Consider the following 19,717-nt stretch of genomic DNA (forward strand, 5'->3'; position numbering starts at 1 on the left):
AGGCTGGAGTGTAGTGGCATGCTCCTGGCTCACTGCAGCCTCAGCCTCCTACGTAGCTGGGACTACAGGTGTGTGCCGCCACGCCAGCTAATTTTTTTATTTTTTGTAGAAAGGAGGTCTTGCCATGTTGGCCAGGCTGGTCTCTAACTCCTGGACTCAAGCGATTCTCCACCTTGGCCTCCCAGAGTATTGGGATTACAGGCATGAGCCACCATGCCCGGCCTGTTCTTTTTTTTCTTTTATTCTCATCGTTCATGTGTTAGTTTGAGTGCTTTTCCCATGCCTGAACTATTCTAGTAGTTCAGGAACACCACCTGTATTGAGTAGCTGATACGTGGTGCTTTACGTATATCATTTGTCGTCCTTGCCACAAACTTACTGTGGCTCTCTGGGTTGTAAGCAACCTAAACCCAGCTCACACTTTTAAACCCAAAGAGGATCTTAGAGGCCTAAGTTACTAGGAAGCCTCGGACTCCTCCCTTCTCTATATTTTGCGGACGTGCTTGCATGTGCTTTGCTTCCTTGTCCTTAGAGCCAGCCGTCCCAGAACGGGACAGCAGAAGGGTGTCTCCAGGAGAACTCCGGCAGCAGTCCTTGGATGGGCCAGTTCTTCAACAAAACTGTTAGGGAGATATCTCCATTTTATATGTCAGGAAATTGAGGCTCTGGGAGGGGGAACCCTGTGCCCCAGGCTACATTGTGGCTAATGCTGGCAGACTGACTGCAAAGCCTGAACTCTTCGTATTACTGTGTGCTGCTTCCTAACTCCTCTTTCCTTTCGTCTGTCTCTTCTCCTGCTGGATAGTCTTTCTTATTTCAAATGTTCGCTTTTGCAATTACAAATGTGGTTGTCTAATTACTTTGCTTAGTAGGTGCCTTCCATGGTTCCTCACCAAGATGAAGTTCAAATTTAGCCTGAAAGACAAAGCCCTTTATATTTGACCTTGCTTATCTTGGAGTTATAGATTTATCTCCTCTCATTTACTTAGTTGTACTTAAGGCTTCAGCTACCCACTGCTTCACAACTTAATGCTTTTGCTTCTGCAGTTTCCTCAACATTGGGGAGTGGTCAAGATCACAGGCCCTAGGGAACAGACTTGGCTCTACCACCTACCACATCTGTGACCTTGGACCCTGTCAGACATGCCCTGCCCACTGCATCCCTTTAGCTGACGCCTGTTCAGGATGCAACGTGGCCCTCACTGGAAAGCCTAGCCTCTTAACCATTTCATTCTTAGCCTCTGTACATAGTGCTGTTAGCACTCTCCTTAGTGAGTATCCTTATTGCCAGGATTTATTATTTTTTAAATGCATACCTTTGGGAACAGATTAGTTTGGGATTTTTGTGGCCTTTGGGTATGGACACAGTTTAAGGTTGTGATCTCTTGTGTACTGAGTTTCTACATACTTCCAGCATGCATAGTGTCCTCTGTGGCTGGGCAGCTTTGCTCCTGCCTCTTGCCCTTCAACAGCTGGGTATTTCTTTTTTGTTTGTTTGTTTTTAATTATTTTTATTTTTATTTTTTATTTTTTGAGACACAGTCTCACTCTGTTGCCCAGGCTGGAGTGCAGTGGTGTGATCTCCTGGGTTCAAGCGATTCTCGTGCCTCAGCCTTCCGAGTACCTGGGATTAATAGGCACGTGCCACCACACCCAGCTAATTTTTGTATTTTTAGTAGAGACGGAGTTTCACCATGTTGGCCAGGCTGGTCTCAAACTCCTGACCTCAAGTGATCTGCCTGCCTCAGCCTCCCAAAGTGCTGGGATTACAGGCGTGAGCCACCGCCGCGCCTGGCCCTAATTTTTAAATTGAATTTCAGTTGCCACATGTGGCTAGTGGCTACCATATTAAACAGGCTAGGTCTCAACTGTTAGTGATAGCTTAACCTTCCTGTTAAATGAGATTTTATGTCTTCTCGTGTATAACTTCTGATATTCTCCTTCCTTTCTTTTATGGAAAACTTTTCTGTATTAAGACTTAAACTCCTGCCACACCTGGAGTAATAAACTTGTGGGAAAACTGAATAAAGTACTAATGCCACTGAACTGTACAGTTAAACACAGTTAAAATGGTAAGTTTTATGTTATATATATTTTACCATAATGGAAAGTCAAAGAGCACATGGTGAAGGGACACAAAGCCTGCAGTGAGAGGCCATCAGGGAGGCTTTCCCAGAGGAGGCGGCACCCTCAGTCTGAGAAGTATTGATACGAGCAGTGACCCCGGGAAAAGAGATGACAAGTGGGTTCTAACTTGGACCTGAAGGGGCTGGAGAACAAGTGGGGTCAGGCCCTGGTGTGGCAGACCGAGGAGATGAGACTTGGCCCATCCAGTCACGGGAAGCCACTGAGGGATTTTAAGCAAGCAAATGACAAGTTTGGATTCCATTTCAAGAAAGATCACTCTGGCTGCTCTGTAGAAAATGTATCAGAGGGTGGCAGAACTGCATCAAGGGAGACATAATCAGGCTAATAACAATCACAGTGATAATAATAGCAGCTAGCATCCCGTGGTGCAGTGGTTCAGGAGGAAATGATGAGTGCCTGGGAGGCTGCATAGAGTGCAGTGATCGCACAGCTAGTAAATGATGGGCTTTGGAAAGATGCCAAGATTTCTGCTTTTGGGGGAAGTCTTTACTCATTTTGCAGTGCACTACTGTATAGGAATAGCTAATCCAAAGTCAACTGATAACTCTTCAAATATGGAAAAAGAACTCGGGTTCATATGACAAATAATGAGAGAATAATATGTAAGCTCTCTTCCTTAAAAAAATAATGTAGACAGGTACCGAGGAGAAAGATGCCTGTGGCTATAAATAAAGGGGTAGCAGGCTGGGCACGGTGGCTCACGCTTGTAATCCCAGCACTTTGGGAGGCCAAGGCAGGCGGATCACGAGGTCAGGAGTTTGAAGCCAGCCTGGCCAACATGGTGAAACCCCATCTCTACTAAAAAATATAAAAACTAGCCGGGCGTGGTGGTGCGCACCTGTAGCCCCAGCTACTCGGGAGGCTGAGGCAGGAGAATCACTTGAACCCAGGGGGCAGAGGTTGCAGTGAGCAGAGATTGCACCACTGCACTCTGGCCTGGGGACTAGAGGGAGACTCCATCTCAAAAAATAAAACATTAAAAAAAAAAGGGTAACATGAGGGATCCTTGTGATGGAACCGTTCTCTCTCTTGACTGGGGTGTTGGTTATAAGTTGTATAGAACTAAATACACACATAAACGAGAGCCTGTCAAACTGGTGAAATCTGAATAAGGTTGGTAGATTTTATCAATGTCAGTTTCTTCGTTGGGATATTATAGTTATGTAAGATATTACCATTAGGGGAAACTGGGTAATGGGCATACAGAATCTCTGTGTGGTATTCCTTGCCTTCTTTCTTTCTGTGGTTTTTTTTTTTATTTTGGACAGAGTTTTTTGACAGAGTTTTGCTCTGTTGCCCAGGCTGGAGTGCAGTGGCATGATCATAGCTCACTTGAACTTCTGGGCTCAGATGATTTTCTGGTCTCAACCTCTTAAGTAGCTAGAACTACAGGCACACACCACCATGCCCAACTAATTATTTTTTATTTTTGTGGAGATAGAGTCTTGCTATATTGCCCAGATTGGTCTCAAACTCTTGGCCTCAAGCGATCCTCCCACCTTGGCCTCCCAAAGTGCTGAGATTACAGGCATGAACCACCACACCCAGCCTTGTGTTGTATTTCTTACAACTGCATGTGTATCTACAATTATCTCAAAAAGTTAAAAGCAAACAAAAAAATTGAATAAAGCAGGTCTCCCTTGGTGCTCCTAGTTTTCAATATTTTTTACTTACCCAGATGTTTCTTCTGTAATAATTTTCTGTGCAATGATTTGTTTTGATCAAGTTTGACACCTTACTAAAGAATACTTAGCTTTCTTTTTTTTTTAACCTTTTAACATCTTTCAAATAAGGATGTATCTTAACAATTCATGGAGACTTAGCATTGAATCACTTTAATTGGTGTCACTTTTTCTTAGTGGCACATGAAATATTGATGTATCTTACAATCACTGGTGTCCTAGATCCGATACATATGATTAGTGAGTCATTCAGCCATGTTGGAAAAGCACAGTAGCTGGTGACAGTTTTGCTAGCTACATTTTTCATGTGTGATTTATCAGTTAAGTGTGTGTTTCTCAGCCCCAAGCCCCCATTCTCTGTGTGTGCTTTTAAAGCTGGGATCCTGCCAGCCACATTTCTCATTGCCATCTGGCTCTTCCTTAGGCAGTGCCAACGGGGCAGGAGAGGGTGACTGCATGGCCGGAGAAGGAAGAAGGAACTTGCTGCTTCCTGTTCCCATGAGGGCACTTGAGCAATGCTTTTTTGCCCCACAGCAGCAGCAGTTCCTTCCTGTAGATGCACCTGAATCCATTTTGCAGTTTTCCCAATACTTGGAGGTCCATCTTCGCTGCATCCTCAGGGGTGTTGACACTGGCCCAAAGCTCCATGGAAGCCTCTTCCCTTTGTTCCCCCAGCCCTGGGGCAGCTCCCACCTCTATAGTACCTTAGTGTTCTCTCTCTCCCCTTTTCAGTGACTAGTTAATAACTTTATGTCTAGTTAACAATTTTTTATATTCTTTGTATGACAATCTGTATGTTAAGATGATGAGTGTGATTTCTGTCTCCTATGTGGACCTCGACTAATACCTCGTGAACAGAGCCACCAGCTCAGCATGGGCTGCATCTCAGCTTCTCCTTCATACATGCTCTGTTCTCTGTAGCCAGTGACCTTTTGAAATGTAAATCTGATATTCCTCCCCTTCAGATCCATCAGTGGATTCCTATGCTCTCAGGTAAAAGAAGAAAATTCTTGCAGGGACGTGAGTGGTCTGGCTCATTTACAAGCCTGGTCTCATCTCACACTTCGCTTCCCTTCATCTTTGTGATGCAGCCACACAGGTCTTATTTTAGCTCCTCAACAGCCACATTGCTTTCTGCTGCATAGCCTTGGCCCATGCCGTTCCCCCTAGTTAGATGCCCCGTCTGCTTCTTACCTAGTCAGCTTTTTCTTTCTTGGGCCTCAGTTTAATTGTAACTTCCTGGGGAACACCCTTTTGGCCTCCCTGGCAAGGTCTGTTCCCCGACCGCATGCACTCCCAGCCCCTCATTTCCCTTATGGCACCCACAGTCTCCGTGAGCATTTGTATGTGCTACTCTCTACAGCAGGCCTCTTTCCCCACCTGCACTATTTAGTTTCATGAGTGCAGGAACTAAGTCAGTGTTTTTTTTCTTGCTGCTGTGCCCCAGAGCTTGGCACATTATATATGCTCGATAAATATTTGTTGAACTAAAAGTAGGAAGAGACCATTTGGTGAATCAGTTTTTACCATAAGCGTGAATCCCATGAACCCAGGACGCAGAGGTTGTAGTGAGTCTAGATGGCGTCACTGCACTCCAGCCTGGGTGACAGAGTGAAACTCTGTCTCAAAAATAAAAAAACAGAAACAAAAACGCAACACCTCTATATTAAGTGGTTCTTTCTAATTTTTTAGAAAGTCTCTCTTGCTGTGCATTTAACTACTTCAGTAAAAATACTGACAAGGAGCCAAACCAGGAGAAAAAATCTACTTATTAAACTGGAAATAATGTATGTTAGGTTGCTGCCTTCTCTAGTATTCATCGGGAAAGATAATATTGAAAACGTACATACTCAGTTGAAACCTAATTCTCATAGTGGTTTCTGTATTACCACCCCTCCTTAAAAGACAAACATGAATTATCCTACTTCGTTTCCTTGAGTTGCCATCAGTCCCAAATTGGAGGTTTTGATACCACGAACCCACAGCGCACAGGTATTTGCCCTCCTAAAACTTCCTATATTCCAGTACAGCCCCTTCTGTCTGACCAATGCAGCTGTACCTTTGTCTTCCTTTCCTCTAAGTCATCTGCTCTGGCTAGGTGTACCGTATATCCTTCCAGGAGCCCATTTCCATACTCTGAAAATTCCTCCTAACCTTGGAAGCATTTCCCTCATTGTTCCTTGTCTTCATTACTGCATCATTAGCATCAACCTTTTTTGTAGTGAATAAAAAAGTAGAGACTACTTCTTAACACATGTCCTACGTAGCAGTTCCCAAATTATTGTTTTGTTGAAGTTGGATTTTTACTAATTCTCTAAAAGCACCATAAAATGTAGTGCTGAAAGGAACCTGACATTGTGTAGCCCAGTTTCTTTTCCCATAAGTATGACCCCAAGCAAGTGAGTGGCCTGCCCAGGTCTCGTGGGGTGTCAGAGGCAGAACTTGGGCTCCTGGCACCCTGCTCATTATTTTGGTCACAGTGAGGACCATAAACCTACTACTACGTGTAAGGCAGTGTTGGGAAGGGACAAACAATGTGACTGTGTACATTAATTTCTTTTTAAACTAGTCTTCTAGAATTTACACATCCAAATCCATGTTGCTTTTAAAAAGTAGACTATGCAGATGCTGAAAAAGATGCCTCAGCACTGGTTTAGTCTGTCTGAAAATAGTTTCAAAACAGTTTGAACCAAGAAAATATTACTGAGGCCTGGTGCGGTGGCTCACACCTGTAATCCCAGCACTTTGGGAGGCCGAGGTGGGTGGATCACCTGAGGTCAGGAGTTCAAGACCAGCCTGACCAACATGGCAAAACCCTGTCTCTACTAAAAATACAAAAATTAGCCGGGCCTGGTTTCGTGTGCCTGTGGTCCCAGCTACTCAGGAGGCTGAGGCAGGAGAATCACTTGAACCTGGAGCAGAGGTTGCAGTGAGCCGAGGTCACGCTACTGCACCCCAACCTGGGCGACAGAGTAAGACTCCATCTCAAAAAAAAAAAAAAAAAATTACTGAAATAAGCACAGAACCCTCCAAGGTAACTGCTTTAAAGAGGACAAAACCTATTTGTCTCAGTGAATTCTACTGTGATTGTTACAATGGCTGACATTTCTTTATACTGTCCTTTACAGACTATGGCTACTAATATCAAAGTGCTTGTAATATTCTTAGAGATGATGACCCAATTTGATAATATTAGGAATGATTTTTAAAATTTTTTTATATAATAACTCATTGATTACCAAGTGATAGCAAGAACTAGGCATTCTGAACAGGAAAAGGAAGTGCTACCTGGAGAGCTTTTGTGGGCAAGAGATGATTTTTTTTTTCTTTTTTCTTTTCTTTTTTTTTTTTTTTTTTTTGAGACAGGGTGTTACTCTGTCACTCAGGCTGGAGTGCAGTGGCATGATCGTGGCTCTCTGCAGCCTCGACCTCCTGGGCTCAGGCAATCTTCCTACCTCAGCCTCTTGAGTAGCTGGGAGTAAAGGCATGCTCCCCAATGCCTGGCTAATATTTGTATTTTTTTATAGAGACATGGTTTCGTCATGTTTCCCAGGCTAGTCTCGAACTGCTGGGCTCAAATGATCCACTCGCCTTGGCTTCCCAAAGTGCTGGGACTACAGATAGGAGCCACTGCACCGGGCTGAGGCAAAAGACTCAAGTTAGCTGCTGGTAAAGACTGACAGACATTCTTTTTATTTCTTTGTTTAACAAGCATTTATTTAAGTGCCTTTCTTGGACCAAGCATGGGCGGCACAAGATGACCAAAGAAAGGCAGAAGGTGACAGATTACAGTTGGATTCTGGTAACAGCGAGTACAAGTCTCTTCAGGGAGACATAGAGGAGATGGGGATAAAAGTTGAGGCCACGTGAATGTCGAGCTTTTAAGAGCCAGCCAAGAATGTTGGCTTGATCCTGATGGGAAGGATGGAGTCATTGGCAACAGTGGGACACTTTTGAGGAAAAGCAGGCATAAATTAGAACTTCCTGGGCATTCTGAGAAGCAGGTTCACTTGCCTCTTGAGTTTTCAGGCTGAGCTAGGCAGATGACATCATACACACAAGCACAAAAGTATTAAGTTGCTGTCAAAGGCTGTTACCTAATGAAAAGTCAAATGGACTTTGTTACAGTCACCCATTGTATAGGATTTGTTTACCTACCAGTTCCTCTCCCTGGGAGACCGGGCTGAGCCCCTTGAAGACAGGCTATGTCTGGTTCACCTCTGTATCTATACCCAGGACCAATAGCACTTAGTACATGGGCAGTAAATACTTGCTTTAAAGAACGAGTAAGTGCTCCATGCTTTCAGGACTACACTGTGGAAAAGGAGAGCTTGGAGTAGGAAGGTATATGAAGGAGCAAGAAAGTCATTTATGGAGGTGGGAATGACCTAAGCAAAGGTCTAGGCTTGGGAATGAAGACAGGAGGCCAGCAGGAGGGTGGACAGGAGGCCAGCAGGAGGGTGGAAGTTCTTTGATTGCAGCCCAAGGAAAGGATGAGTTCTGGAAAGGATAGCAGGGGCCCTCCCTCCCGGTCTGTATGGTTCAGGCATTCACCGTGCCCCTCACGCCACATCTGTTCCATCTTCCCTGCTGCCTTTGGCTGAGGAAATTGGTGTCCGTGGTGGCCACCCAGACCTCCTTCCTGCGCTTCACACTCAAACAAGGCTGTTCCCCATGTCTTGGGTCTGTCTTTCCTCTACCTGGATCGTTCTTCCCCATGGCCTGGTCTCAGCATTGAGTTCTCAAATGTCCCCCCTTCCCTCACCTTATCCGAAGGACCCATTCCCCGTCCTCTCTACATTCTGTCCTATTACCCTGTCTGGTTTATTTTCTTCCTAGTATTGATTACTACTGGAATCCTCATATTCATCAGTCTGCTGGTTTAATGCCTGTTCCCTTTACTGGAATGTAAGCATGATTTTGGTCTTTTTCTCCTCTGTCCTGAGTACCCAGAACAAAGCGTGGCCTATGGAGGACACTAAATGAACGCATGGGGGAAAAACGGGTTTTATTGCAGAGGGAGACCCTTTGTTTCATACAGATCGTTTGTAAACTTAGATATTTTATTAGCAACAAATTATGATAGAGCTTACAAACTCCTTGAGAATCGCTGCGGTAGTAGGTGGGGGTGGAGCTTCTCTAGGCAGCATTTCAGTGTGTCCTAGCTTGGATGCTGTGGCTTCCCGAGCTCTGAATCTATACTGCTTACTCTGGGCTTATGGAGTGTGTAGCAGGGAATCCTTGTTGAAGGATCCCCAAACCCTTGATAGCCATGGACAGCCCACAGTGGTCATGGAGCCGGAGCCAGAATGTAATTCCCAGTGTGACCAGGAGCTAGAGTTTAAGTCAAGGCAGCAGGTATACTCAGGTGCATTTTCCATTCCCTTTGAGGGAGGGGTGGAGGTTTGAGCCCCCTCCACATCCCACCCCATTGGGGTGCCTTTGTCACTCTTGACAGCTTTAGAGTGACTTAGATGGGAGATTGGTGGGGAGGAGGGGGGGAGGGGCACTGTTTGAATCTACCCTGCTGGAGGCACTGAATAGTTTTATAAGTATGTGTACACTCTATTGTTCAAGTGTTTGCTTAAATCACTGTATCTTCTTAGAAATTTTTGTAACCTTTTGGTTAGCACTGTTACAGTTTAGTTTTGATGCTCGGTGTTTCATTTCCCATCTCCTTTCACCTTTGTTTTTTAAAAAAGCAAAAGATGCACGTAAAACAGTGGAAAGCTTAACTATAGAAACCCCGAGTTGGCCAGGAGAATTGGCAGGCGCTTGCTTTCTTCACTTTCCCTTCCCTTTTAAAGCCTTTGTTTTAGGAAAAAGGAAATTGGTGTGTTTGGAGAGCAGTTGTTAGCTTTTCAAGACTGGACTCGTTGGTCTAATTTGGTAAGGGCCCAGAACACGTCCCATGAAGTAAGGGAAAAATGTGAAGCTGAAGCCGGCATGTGGGGGAGAGCTAACAACTGGACATTTTCACCCAAAGCCCCGCCTCACATGCCTTTAGCCAGAAGGCTTGGCTATTTATTTCTGGGAAGCTTTAGGTTTCCTACTGATGATGGCATCCCCCCTGGTGTCTGGGATGTTCCCTGCCCCTCCCTCCCAACTCTGTCGATACCTGTAGCATTCCTTCTTGGGTCTGGGCACTGAGTCCAGGCCATGTGTGGAAGATTCCAGTTCTTTCACCATTCCATGTGACACAGCATGGCGGGTAGTTTCTTTTTTGTCAGGACAACTGTTTCCTTCTTTGAGGTGTATGAATGGTTTGTAGTACGTACCTGGGTTCCTAAGATAGATCTCGACTGTCTAGCCTGAGTGTCTAGCTATTTCAGGAACAATGTTGCTACACCAGTTGAGTGCTCAGGAACTAGATAAATGCAGATACGTTTAGTTGTTAATTTTCTCTCTCAGATAATTCATCTAGCTGAAGATTTTTGGCTACCTCTGTTTTCTGTTTATTTTTTATCTTTTTGAGACAAGATCTTGCTTGGTTCTCCCGGCTGGAGTGTGGTGGCACAATCACTGCTCACTGCAGCCTCAACCTCCCTGGCTCAAGTGGTCCTCCCACCTCAGCTTCCTGAGTAGCTGGGACCACAGGTGTGTGCCACCATGCCCAGCTAATTTAATTTTTTGTAGAGATGGGGGTTCCGGTATGTTGGCCAAGCTGGTCTTGAACTCCTGGGCTCAAAGTGATCCTCCTGCCTTGGCCTCTCAAAGTGCGGGGATTACAGGTGTGAGCCACCACACCTGGCCCACCTTCTTATTGCCCCCCCCCCTTTTTTTTTTTTGACTCCTGTCTACTTTCCTGCTGCCGCTTGCTCCAAGGCTCCCACTGGACATTCTGCCCAAATACCTGTCCTTACCCAGGTGTTCTGTGTAGGAGAATGAGATGGTCACTTGGTGAGCAAGGAGTCCATATGTGGGGGGCTTGAATGGAAGGATCTTAATGCTTCCTGTCCTGAAGTGATGTTGTCCTGGCCCACCCATCTCATTTTTTACTTTAAAATGTACCAGAAGGTAGGATGACTTACATCTAACTCACTTTAAGCCCCGGGAAAAGTGGAGACCAACTAAGTCTTGCTGTCTGGAGACCTCTCTGACCCATCTCTGTTGGGCAGTATTTTGTCTTCACGCCGTCTCGTAGTCCCTTCCTAAAAGTAAAAATAGGGAGTCCCTGGAACCTCTTACTTACCCATTTGCGGTCTATTGCTGAGGAGGGTTTAATTGATGGCCACTCTAGGCAACCCACATCTACATGTTTGGGGAATCTTAAGTCGCCTCTGCGTACCGCTCTACAGAATGCTGAGGTGTCAGGAATAAAAGGGGCTTAAAGGGGATGCATAGATGAAAGGGAAGTTTTGTGGCTATTTGAAGGCCTTACTAGGACCAGAAGAAAGGAGGAATGCAGTCCAGGCAGGGAAGTGCGTGAGCCAGAGGGCCAAGGAGGAATGGGGCTTGTGTGAGGAAATGGGGAGTTCTCAAGGAGGAATCCTAGGGTCCCTGTGGCAAAGCCTAAGGTGGCCTTTCTTCTGAACTCAGGACAGCATTCCAGTCTTGACCACTCGTTTGACTTCCAGATCCGTATCTTGTTCAAATACAGTGGATTATCTTCTTTTTACTTAAAGTTTTTATTTAAATTCGAGATAATTATATATTCAAATGCAGTTGTAAGAAATAATCTCTTTTATCCTTTTATGCAGTTTCCCCCATTGGTAACATCTTGCTGTATTCTCTCTCTCTCTCTTTTTTTTTTTTTTTTTTTTTTTTTTTTTTTTTGAGACGGAGTTTTGCTCTTTTGCCCAGGCTGGAGTGCGGTGGCATATCAGCTCACTGCACCCTTACCTTTGCCTCCCAGGCTCAGGCAATCCGCCTGCCTCAGCCTTGTGAGTAGCTGGGACTACAGGCGTGCACCACCACTTCCAGCTAATATTTATATTTTATTGTAGAGTTGGGGTTTCACCACGTCACCCAGGCTGGTCTCAAACTTTGGGACTTGAGCAGGCCACCCGCCTTGTCCTCCCAAAGTGCTGGGATTATAGGCATGAGCCACCACACCCAACCTGTATTATATTTTTAAAAATTGAATGCCTCTAGTTTAAAAAGGTATATAGTTGTGTTACAGCCAATAGCATTTCCTTCTCTGACTCAGTAGTAATACTAGGTTTTTTTTTTTGAAACGGAGTTTTGCTCTGTTGCCCAGGCTGGAGTGCAATGGCGCAATCTCGACTCACCGCAAACTCTGCCTCCTGTGTTCAAGCAATTCTCCTGCCTCAGCCTGCTGAGTAGCTGGGATTATAGGCGTGTGCCACCACACCTGGCTAATTTTTGTATTTTTAGTGGAGACGGGGTTTCACCTTATTGGTCAGGCTGGACTTGAACTCTTGACCTCGTGATCCGCCTGCCTTGACCTCCCAAAGTGCTGGGATTACAGGCGTGAGCCACTGTGCCCGGCCAGTTTTTTGTTTTGTTTCAAGGAATCTCTGTTCACATATAAAAAATTGCGTAAAAGCCCCCCTTTTCTTACGTACATGATATCATCAAGTACACATTTTTTGCATCTTGCTTTTAAAACTTAACACCTTATCTTGAAGACTTATCTTCCTTAGTACAAAAAGAACTGCTTGTTATAATTGCATAGTATTCTCTTGTGTGGATAAGGTATAATAACGTATTTAACCAGTCCCCTAATTGATGGACTGTTTCTGATCTTTTGCCGTTACAAACATATTTTGCAGTGAATATCCTTTGCATATATAATTTGCCACATGTGTAATTCTTTTCCTGTGATACATACTTAAAAATAGGATAGCTGGGTCAAAGACTGTACACTTTCATTTTGATAGGTAGCTGCCAAATTGTCCCGTACAGAGATTGCACCCGTTTATATTCTCATCAGCAATGGTATATGTGAATGCCTTTTTCTGTGTTACCTTGGACACAAGGTAACTGTGTGTTACCACCAAATTTTGTCTTTGCCAGTTTGGTCAGTGAAAAGCGGTATCTTGGTGTACTTTGGTGTTGTTTTGTTTTGTTTTTTTTGAGACCGAGTCTTACTCTGTTGCCCAGGCTGGAGTGCAGTGGTGTGAACTCAGCTTACTGCAGCCTCCACCTCCCAGGTTCAAGTGATTCTCGTGCCTCAGCCTCTCGTAGCTGGGACTACAGGCATGAGCCACCATGCCCGGCTAATTTTTGTATTTTTAATAGAGACGGGGTTTCAACATGTTGGCCAGGCTGGTCTCGAACTCCTGACCTCAGGTAATGTGCCTGTCTCAGCCTCCCAAAGTGTTGGGATTATAGGCGTGAACCACCATGCCTAGCCTGTCTTCGTATACTTTGAATACTCTATTCCCTTATAGAGAATGCAGTTGATCTATATCTTAGGAGGCTATCTTTCCTTTTCTGTGAACTGTCTGTTCATTTCCTTCACCCATTTTTCTTTTGTATTGTTGGTCTTTTCCTTGTTGATTTGTAGGAGTTCTTTATGTATTATGAAACCTAGCTCTTTGAGATATAAATGCTGATTTTTTTCCCCCAGCAACAATGACCTTGGTGGATTCTATCATAATACTTGTTTTGAAGCATTTCTGTAGTCAGATGTAGCTGTCATTTGTTTATGGCTTCTGAGTTTGTATCATAGTTAGAAAGTCTTTGTTCGTTCTGCATTATGAAAAGAAAAATCAGCCACAGGTTTTTCAAATGCTTTAATGGTTGCCTTCCCAGCTTTCTTCTTTCTCTCCTTTCCCTTCCTTCCTCTCTTCCTCCCGTTTAAATACTTTATCCATCTGGAGTTTATTTTCACGCAAGGTATGAGGTATGGGTCTGATCTTATGAAGTCGTGTGTGGTTCTTGAGTGCCTTCTCCGGGCGCCGTGTGCCTCATCCCTCTGTTACTCATCACCTTCTTTGCTGATGCAGAGTAGGTGCTTGATGTGGAGGAGGAGGTGGACCCTGCTGCCAGAAGCAGTAGCAGCTCATGTGCTTTGTATTGTTAGGTGCTTTCCATCCATTATTTCTAATCAACACAGCCTCTCTTCAAGATAAGTAGTATATAGCTCCCATTTTACAGATGACAAACTTAGATGCCAGATAATTTGCCCAAGCTCCTACCATTGTAGTGTCCAAGATACATAAAATTTGATTTTAAAGTGTCAGACTCCAAAGGCTGTGCTTTTTCTCTTGGCCTGGCTGCAGTGTAGCAGGGGAGCACCTTGGAAGAGGCATGTGCTTATTGCAGTTGACCATGCTTGAGTACAGGATTTTGAGAGATGGAGGCAAAAGAACTTTGAAGAAGGTGTTGGAGGGGTCCGGAGACACAAAGAAATACAAAAATACTGTATGCACTCACTAATACAGTCCCTAGATCAATGATGTGTAGAAAGCATAATGCTCAACTGAAAGGAGAAAAAAATCCTTCTCATAGCTTAAGAGAACCTGAAGTGTCCTCTCAGAAAAACATATTTGAGGCCGGGTGCAGTGGCTCACGCCAGTAATCCCAGCACTTCGGGAGGCTGAGGTGGGCAGACCACTTGAGGTCAGGAGTTCACGACCAGGCTAGCCAACATGGTGAAAACCCATCTCTGCTAAAAAAATTTTTAAAATAAAATAAAACTTAGCCAGGTGTGGCGGCGTGTGCCTGTAACCCCAGCTACGCGGGAGGCTGAGGCAGGAGAATCGCTTGAACTTGGGAGGCAGAGGTTGCAGTGAGCCAAAATCGTGCCACTCCACTCCAGCCTGAGCGACAGAGTGAGACTCCGTCTCAAAAAAAAAAAAAAAAAAAAAAAAAGAAGGAGAAGAACATAGTTGGGATAGCTGTTACTCAGATTGTCTATTAAAGATTACAGGGGTAGATCATTCACAGAACATTTCCCCTGGGTTACCTAAGTAGAAATTAGGTGTTGAACTGTGTGTATAGAGACTTGGATGTCATTTTAAATGGAACTGGGCATCCTGTAACTGATCCTGAAGAGTTAAACACAGGTAAATGTTGGCTTAGTTGTTATCAAAATGCTGTATGTAAATCACTTTTTAGATTTGAAGTCATTTTCTCACTGGTGTATAATTTTAGTTGAAGAATTGGGTCATGTAAGTTCACAAGTCAGCTTTACTCTATAGTTTTTGATTACTATTAAACATGCTTATCTTTCAGAAATATACATTTTCGTCAAGGTAATTCAATTATTCAGCTTGCTAAATTTAAATGACAACTGCTGGCACACAAGAACACGACTTTCCATTTTTACTATTCTGAAAATAGAGCACAAATTAAGAGCATTGAGAAGTAGGGTACGACTGTCACCTGTGGAGTCTTGAATTCAGAGTTGATTTTCTTGTCTGCCGATTTTTTTCAATACCAAGATAAGTGTCACAAATAGCACCCTTTCTCAGAGGATTTCCAGGATTCGAATAACAGACACAAACTTAATAAAATGACAGTAGTGCAGCATAATCAGGAAGCCCACCTGCCGTCAGATCACTTGTTTGCAGTAGATACCGTGTGATCTCAGGAGCAGAGTCCACATCTCTTCCATTTATTTTCTAACATAAAATTCTTGGTTTTTTCTTAAAGCGTAGATCTGGAAAGGTGTGCAAAAATCACCTTCCTTGATGGACTGCATTACAAGTCTCCTCCAATCTTGTTAACTGGATATGCATCCTCCTAGAGTTGAGAACACATGGTCAGAGGAAAATCAAATGTATCATTGTTTGAATTCACTTATTTTTTGATTCCTTGCCTGTGATTAATGCTTTTTAAAGATCTTCATGCACACTATTTAGCTCCATTTCTTCTGTGTGCATATGCAGCCCTGACAGAGACTTGGTCATTGGTCAGTGAGAGAGGAGGGCCCAGAGCCTGAGGGGAGGGGCTCTTAGTTGAGTGCTCACCTTCCTGGTGTTGAGAGGCAGGAGGCCTCCTAGAACCACTAGTTTTTGTTTTTGTTTTTTGAGACAGAGTCTTACTCTATCACCTAGGCTGTAGTGCAGTGGCACAATCTCAGCTCATTGCAGCCTCCACCTCCTGGGTTCAAGCCATTCTCCTGCCTCAGCCTCCCAAGTAGCTGAGACTACAGGCATGTGTCGCCACACCCAGCTAATTATTATTATTATTATTATTATTATTATTATTATTATTATTTGTATTTTATTAGAGATGGGGTTTTGCCATGTTGGCCAGGCTGGTCTCAAACTCCTGACCTCAAGTGATCCACTTGCCTCAGCCTCCGAAAGTGCTGGGATTACAGGCTAATTTTTTGTATTTTTAGTATAGATCAGGTTTTGCCATGTTGCCCAGGCTGGGTGCAAACAATCTGCCCACCTCAGCCTCCCAAAGTACTGGGGTTATAGGCGTGAGCTACCACACCTAGCCTGAAATTACCTTTTTTTTTTTTTTTTTTTTTTTTTGAGACAGAGTCTGGCTCTGTTGCCCAGGCTGGAGTGCAGTGGTGCCATCTTGGCCTCCCAGGTTCAAGCAATTCTGCTGCCTCAGCCTCCCAAGTAGCTGGGATTACAGGTGCATGCCACCACACTGACTAATTTTTGTATTTTTGTAATAGAGGTGAGGTTTCACCATGTTGGCCAGGCTGGTCTTGAACTCCTTACCTCAAGTGATCTGCCCAGCTCGGCCTCCCAAAGTGTTGGGATTACAGGTGTGAGCCACTGCACCTGGTCCTAAAATTACCTTTTAATGGAATTTCAATTTACTGTGATTTTGATGTTGAACTGCTAGCAATCTGATTTCAAAGGTCAGTTATTATTTATTCTTTCAATAGAAAAGAAAAACTGTGTCGAACCATATGTGGAGGAAAGCAGATAAAAAAAATGCAACATGAAAAGGAAAACACCTGAATGTTTAGAAGAGCTGTCCCACCAGTTACTGTTATAAGTTCTCAGTTTTTCTCCTGAATAATATGTGCCTCAGAGCTGTGGATTCTGGTTGATAAACTTATTTTCTCTCCTGTTTAGGAGCCATATTTCATCACTTTTCTGTAGAGAATAGTTCTTTCCAAGGCCATAGCTAAGACCGCTATTCCTCATCTTCTTTTTAGTTTCTTCGCTGTCAAGTGCTGACGGTAGAGTGCTGCTCTGGCTTTTGTGGGTTGGTCTGGCCCTTAAGGTGTAAACATAGTTTTTAGCAGTTCCAGATTATAAATATTAGAGTATGTGAGCCAGGAGTGGTGGCTCATGCCTGTAATCCTAGCACTTTGGGAGGCCGAGGCAGGCGGATCGCCTGATGTTAGGAGATTGAGACCAGCCTGGCCAACATGGTGAAACCCCGTCTCTACTAAAAATACTAAAAAATTAGCCAGGTGTGGTGCTGGGCACCTGTAATCCCAGCTACTCAGGAGGCTGAGGCAGGAGAATCGCTTGAACCCGGGAGGCGGAGGTTGCAGTGAGCCGAGATTGTGCCATCGCACTCCAGCCTGGGCAACAAGAGCAAAATTCCGTCTCAAAAATAAAATAAAACAAAAATAAATAAATAAACAAATAGATAAATGTATGTATGTTAGAGTATGTGGTATAAGCCCTCGTTGAGAAGCTGTTTCTTTTTTTTTTTTGAGACAGAGTCTTGCTGTGTCGCCCAGGCTGGAGTGCAGCGGCGTGATCTCGGCTCACTGCAACCTCCGCCTCCCAGGTTCAAGCGATTCTCCTGCCTCAGCCTCCCGAGTAGCTGGGACTACAGGAGCCCGCCACCATGCCTGGCTAATTTTTTGTATTTTTTTTTTAGTAGGGACGGCGTTTCACCATGTTAGCCAGGATGGTCTCGATCTCCTGACCTCGTGATCCACCCACCTCGGCCTCCCAAAGTGCTGGGATTACAGACATGAGCCACCGCGCCCAGCCCCAGGAGGCTGTTTCTTAGCCTGTTTGGATATTTGTAAAACCACTCCTAATTTCAGGCTGTTGTTAGAAGCATGGCATATTAATTGTAATGTATAGGAAAGTACTTTCAGGAGTAAAATGTGAGGTGTGAGGTGATGTTAAAGATTTATTCACTAAATCTTACATTAAGACCTAAGGTGTCCTTTGAACCTAAGGTGTCCTTTGAAGTCAAGCAAAACCGTAAGAATGGTTAAAAAATTAACAGCTTTGGTTCAATTGCCTTATAAACACATAATATAGGTATTACTGATCGAAGGAAAGTTCAGTGAAGATGCTGGTAGTTTACAGCACTCCGGAGAATTAAAACAATGAGATGTAAAGGTAACAGCTCTAAAAATTCAGACATTTGCCTTATTAAGCTCTTTTCTACAAGAGACTTCATTACATTGAAAAATGAAACCTGGCACCCATCCTAGGAGAATTATCTGTGCAGAAGTTCTGATTTACAGATTTGTGATCTTAGGGAACAGTGTGCACACCCAGGGTGAAATTTCAACTGATAAAGGGATCTCACTTACGGGGCTGTGTCATTCAGGGTTCTGCCAGGGAAATGGGCCATTCCAGGTATCCCTGTAGGAAAGGCTTTTTTTTTTTTCTCTCTCTTCTTTGTTTTTCCTTTTACCTCCTTATTGAGGTATTATTGACATTTACAATGCGGTAAGTTTCAAACGATGTATGCAAAAGATAGTTAATATGTCCTTCACCACCCTCTGTCTCCTCTTGCCCATTTATCACCCCTCTCTGCCACCCTTCTCTGCCCCTTCTCCACCCCAGATAACCATTGATGTGCTTTCTGTCACCATAGATTAGTTGACATTTTCTAGAATTTTATACAAGTGGAATTGTTCAGTAGGTACTCTTTTTTGTGTGGCTTCTTTTACTCAACATAGTTATTTTTAGGTTCATCCATGTTGTGTTTAACAATAGTCCATTATTTTTATTGCTGAGTAAGTAGCATTCTGTTGTATATTCCACCTTAATTTGTTTATCCATTCACCTATTGATGTGCATTTGGGCATTTGCTCGTTTTCAGCTCTTATCAATAAAGCTATGAATATTCATCTACAAGTCTTTGTTGGACATACGCTTTCTTTTCTCTAGAGTCAATAACCTAGGCAATGAATGGCTGGGTCATATAGTAGGTGTATGTTTAGCTTTTTAAGAAACTGCCAAAGTGTTTTCCAAAGTGATTGTACCATTTTACATTCCCATCATGAGAGAGTTCCATTTGTTAATTCTTGGAATGGTGAGTCTTTTTAATTTTGCACATTCTACAAGTACATGTGTGTTGACATCTCATTGTGGCTTTAATTTGTTTTTTTCATAATCACTAAAGAAGTTGAATATCTTTTTATGTGTTTATTTGCCACATGTATGTCTTCTCTGGCAAAGTGTCTGTTCAAATCTTTTGCCCATCTTCTTTTTTTTTTTTTTTTTTTTTTTTAAAGACAGGTTCTCACTCTGTCGCCCAGACTGGAGTGCAGTGGCACCATCTTGGTTCACCACAACCTCCGCCTCCCAGGCTCAAGCAATTTCTCCTGCCTCAGCCTCCCTAGTAGCTGGGACTACAGGCATGCACCACTACCATTCGGCTAATTTTTGTTTTTTTAGTAACAATGGGATTTCACCATGTTGGCCAGACTGATCTCGAACTCCTGACCTCAAGTGATCCACTCACATCGGCCTCCAAGAGTGCTGGGATTACAAGTGTGAGCCACCATGCCCGGCCTCTTTTGCCCGGTTTTAAGATGGGGTTCTTTATATACTGTGTATATAAATTCTTTGTCAGATAAGTGATTTGCAGATAACTTTTTCTCAGTCTGTGGCTTAATCTTTTTATTCTCTTAAATGTCTTTTGAAGAGCAGAAGTTTTTAACTTTGAGTCCAATATATCAGGGTTTTTTCTTTTATGAATCATGTTTTTTGGTGTTGTGTCAAAAAAATAATTTTTCTAACATAGGGTCACAAAGATTTTCTTGTATGTTTTCTTCTAGAAGTTTTATAGTTTTA

At 43.6% G+C, this 19,717-nt stretch overlaps 1 protein-coding gene across 3 annotated transcripts in view, besides 2 other annotated features; it reads left to right on the forward strand.

Annotated features, from left to right (window-relative positions):
- TNRC6B (trinucleotide repeat containing adaptor 6B) overlaps window positions 1-19,717 on the forward strand; it is a 290,975-nt gene that overhangs the window by 166,322 nt on the left and 104,936 nt on the right. The window lies entirely within an intron of this gene.
- Window positions 25-124: an enhancer, noted in NCBI's record as "active region_19083". NCBI's record gives its function as "activates an Ori minimal core promoter by ATAC-STARR-seq in GM12878 lymphoblastoid cells {active_cell/tissue: GM12878}" and the evidence as "EXISTENCE:reporter gene assay evidence [ECO:0000049][PMID:35858748]".
- Window positions 17,036-17,537: an enhancer, noted in NCBI's record as "H3K4me1 hESC enhancer chr22:40624195-40624696 (GRCh37/hg19 assembly coordinates)". NCBI's record gives its function as "activates a minimal SCP1, AML or CMV promoter by ChIP-STARR-seq in naive H9 embryonic stem cells {active_cell/tissue: H9 hESC(naive)}" and the evidence as "EXISTENCE:reporter gene assay evidence [ECO:0000049][PMID:30033119]".

This window comes from Homo sapiens, chromosome 22 (assembly GCF_000001405.40).
Source record: "Homo sapiens chromosome 22, GRCh38.p14 Primary Assembly".
NCBI classification, from domain to species: domain Eukaryota; kingdom Metazoa; phylum Chordata; class Mammalia; order Primates; family Hominidae; genus Homo; species Homo sapiens.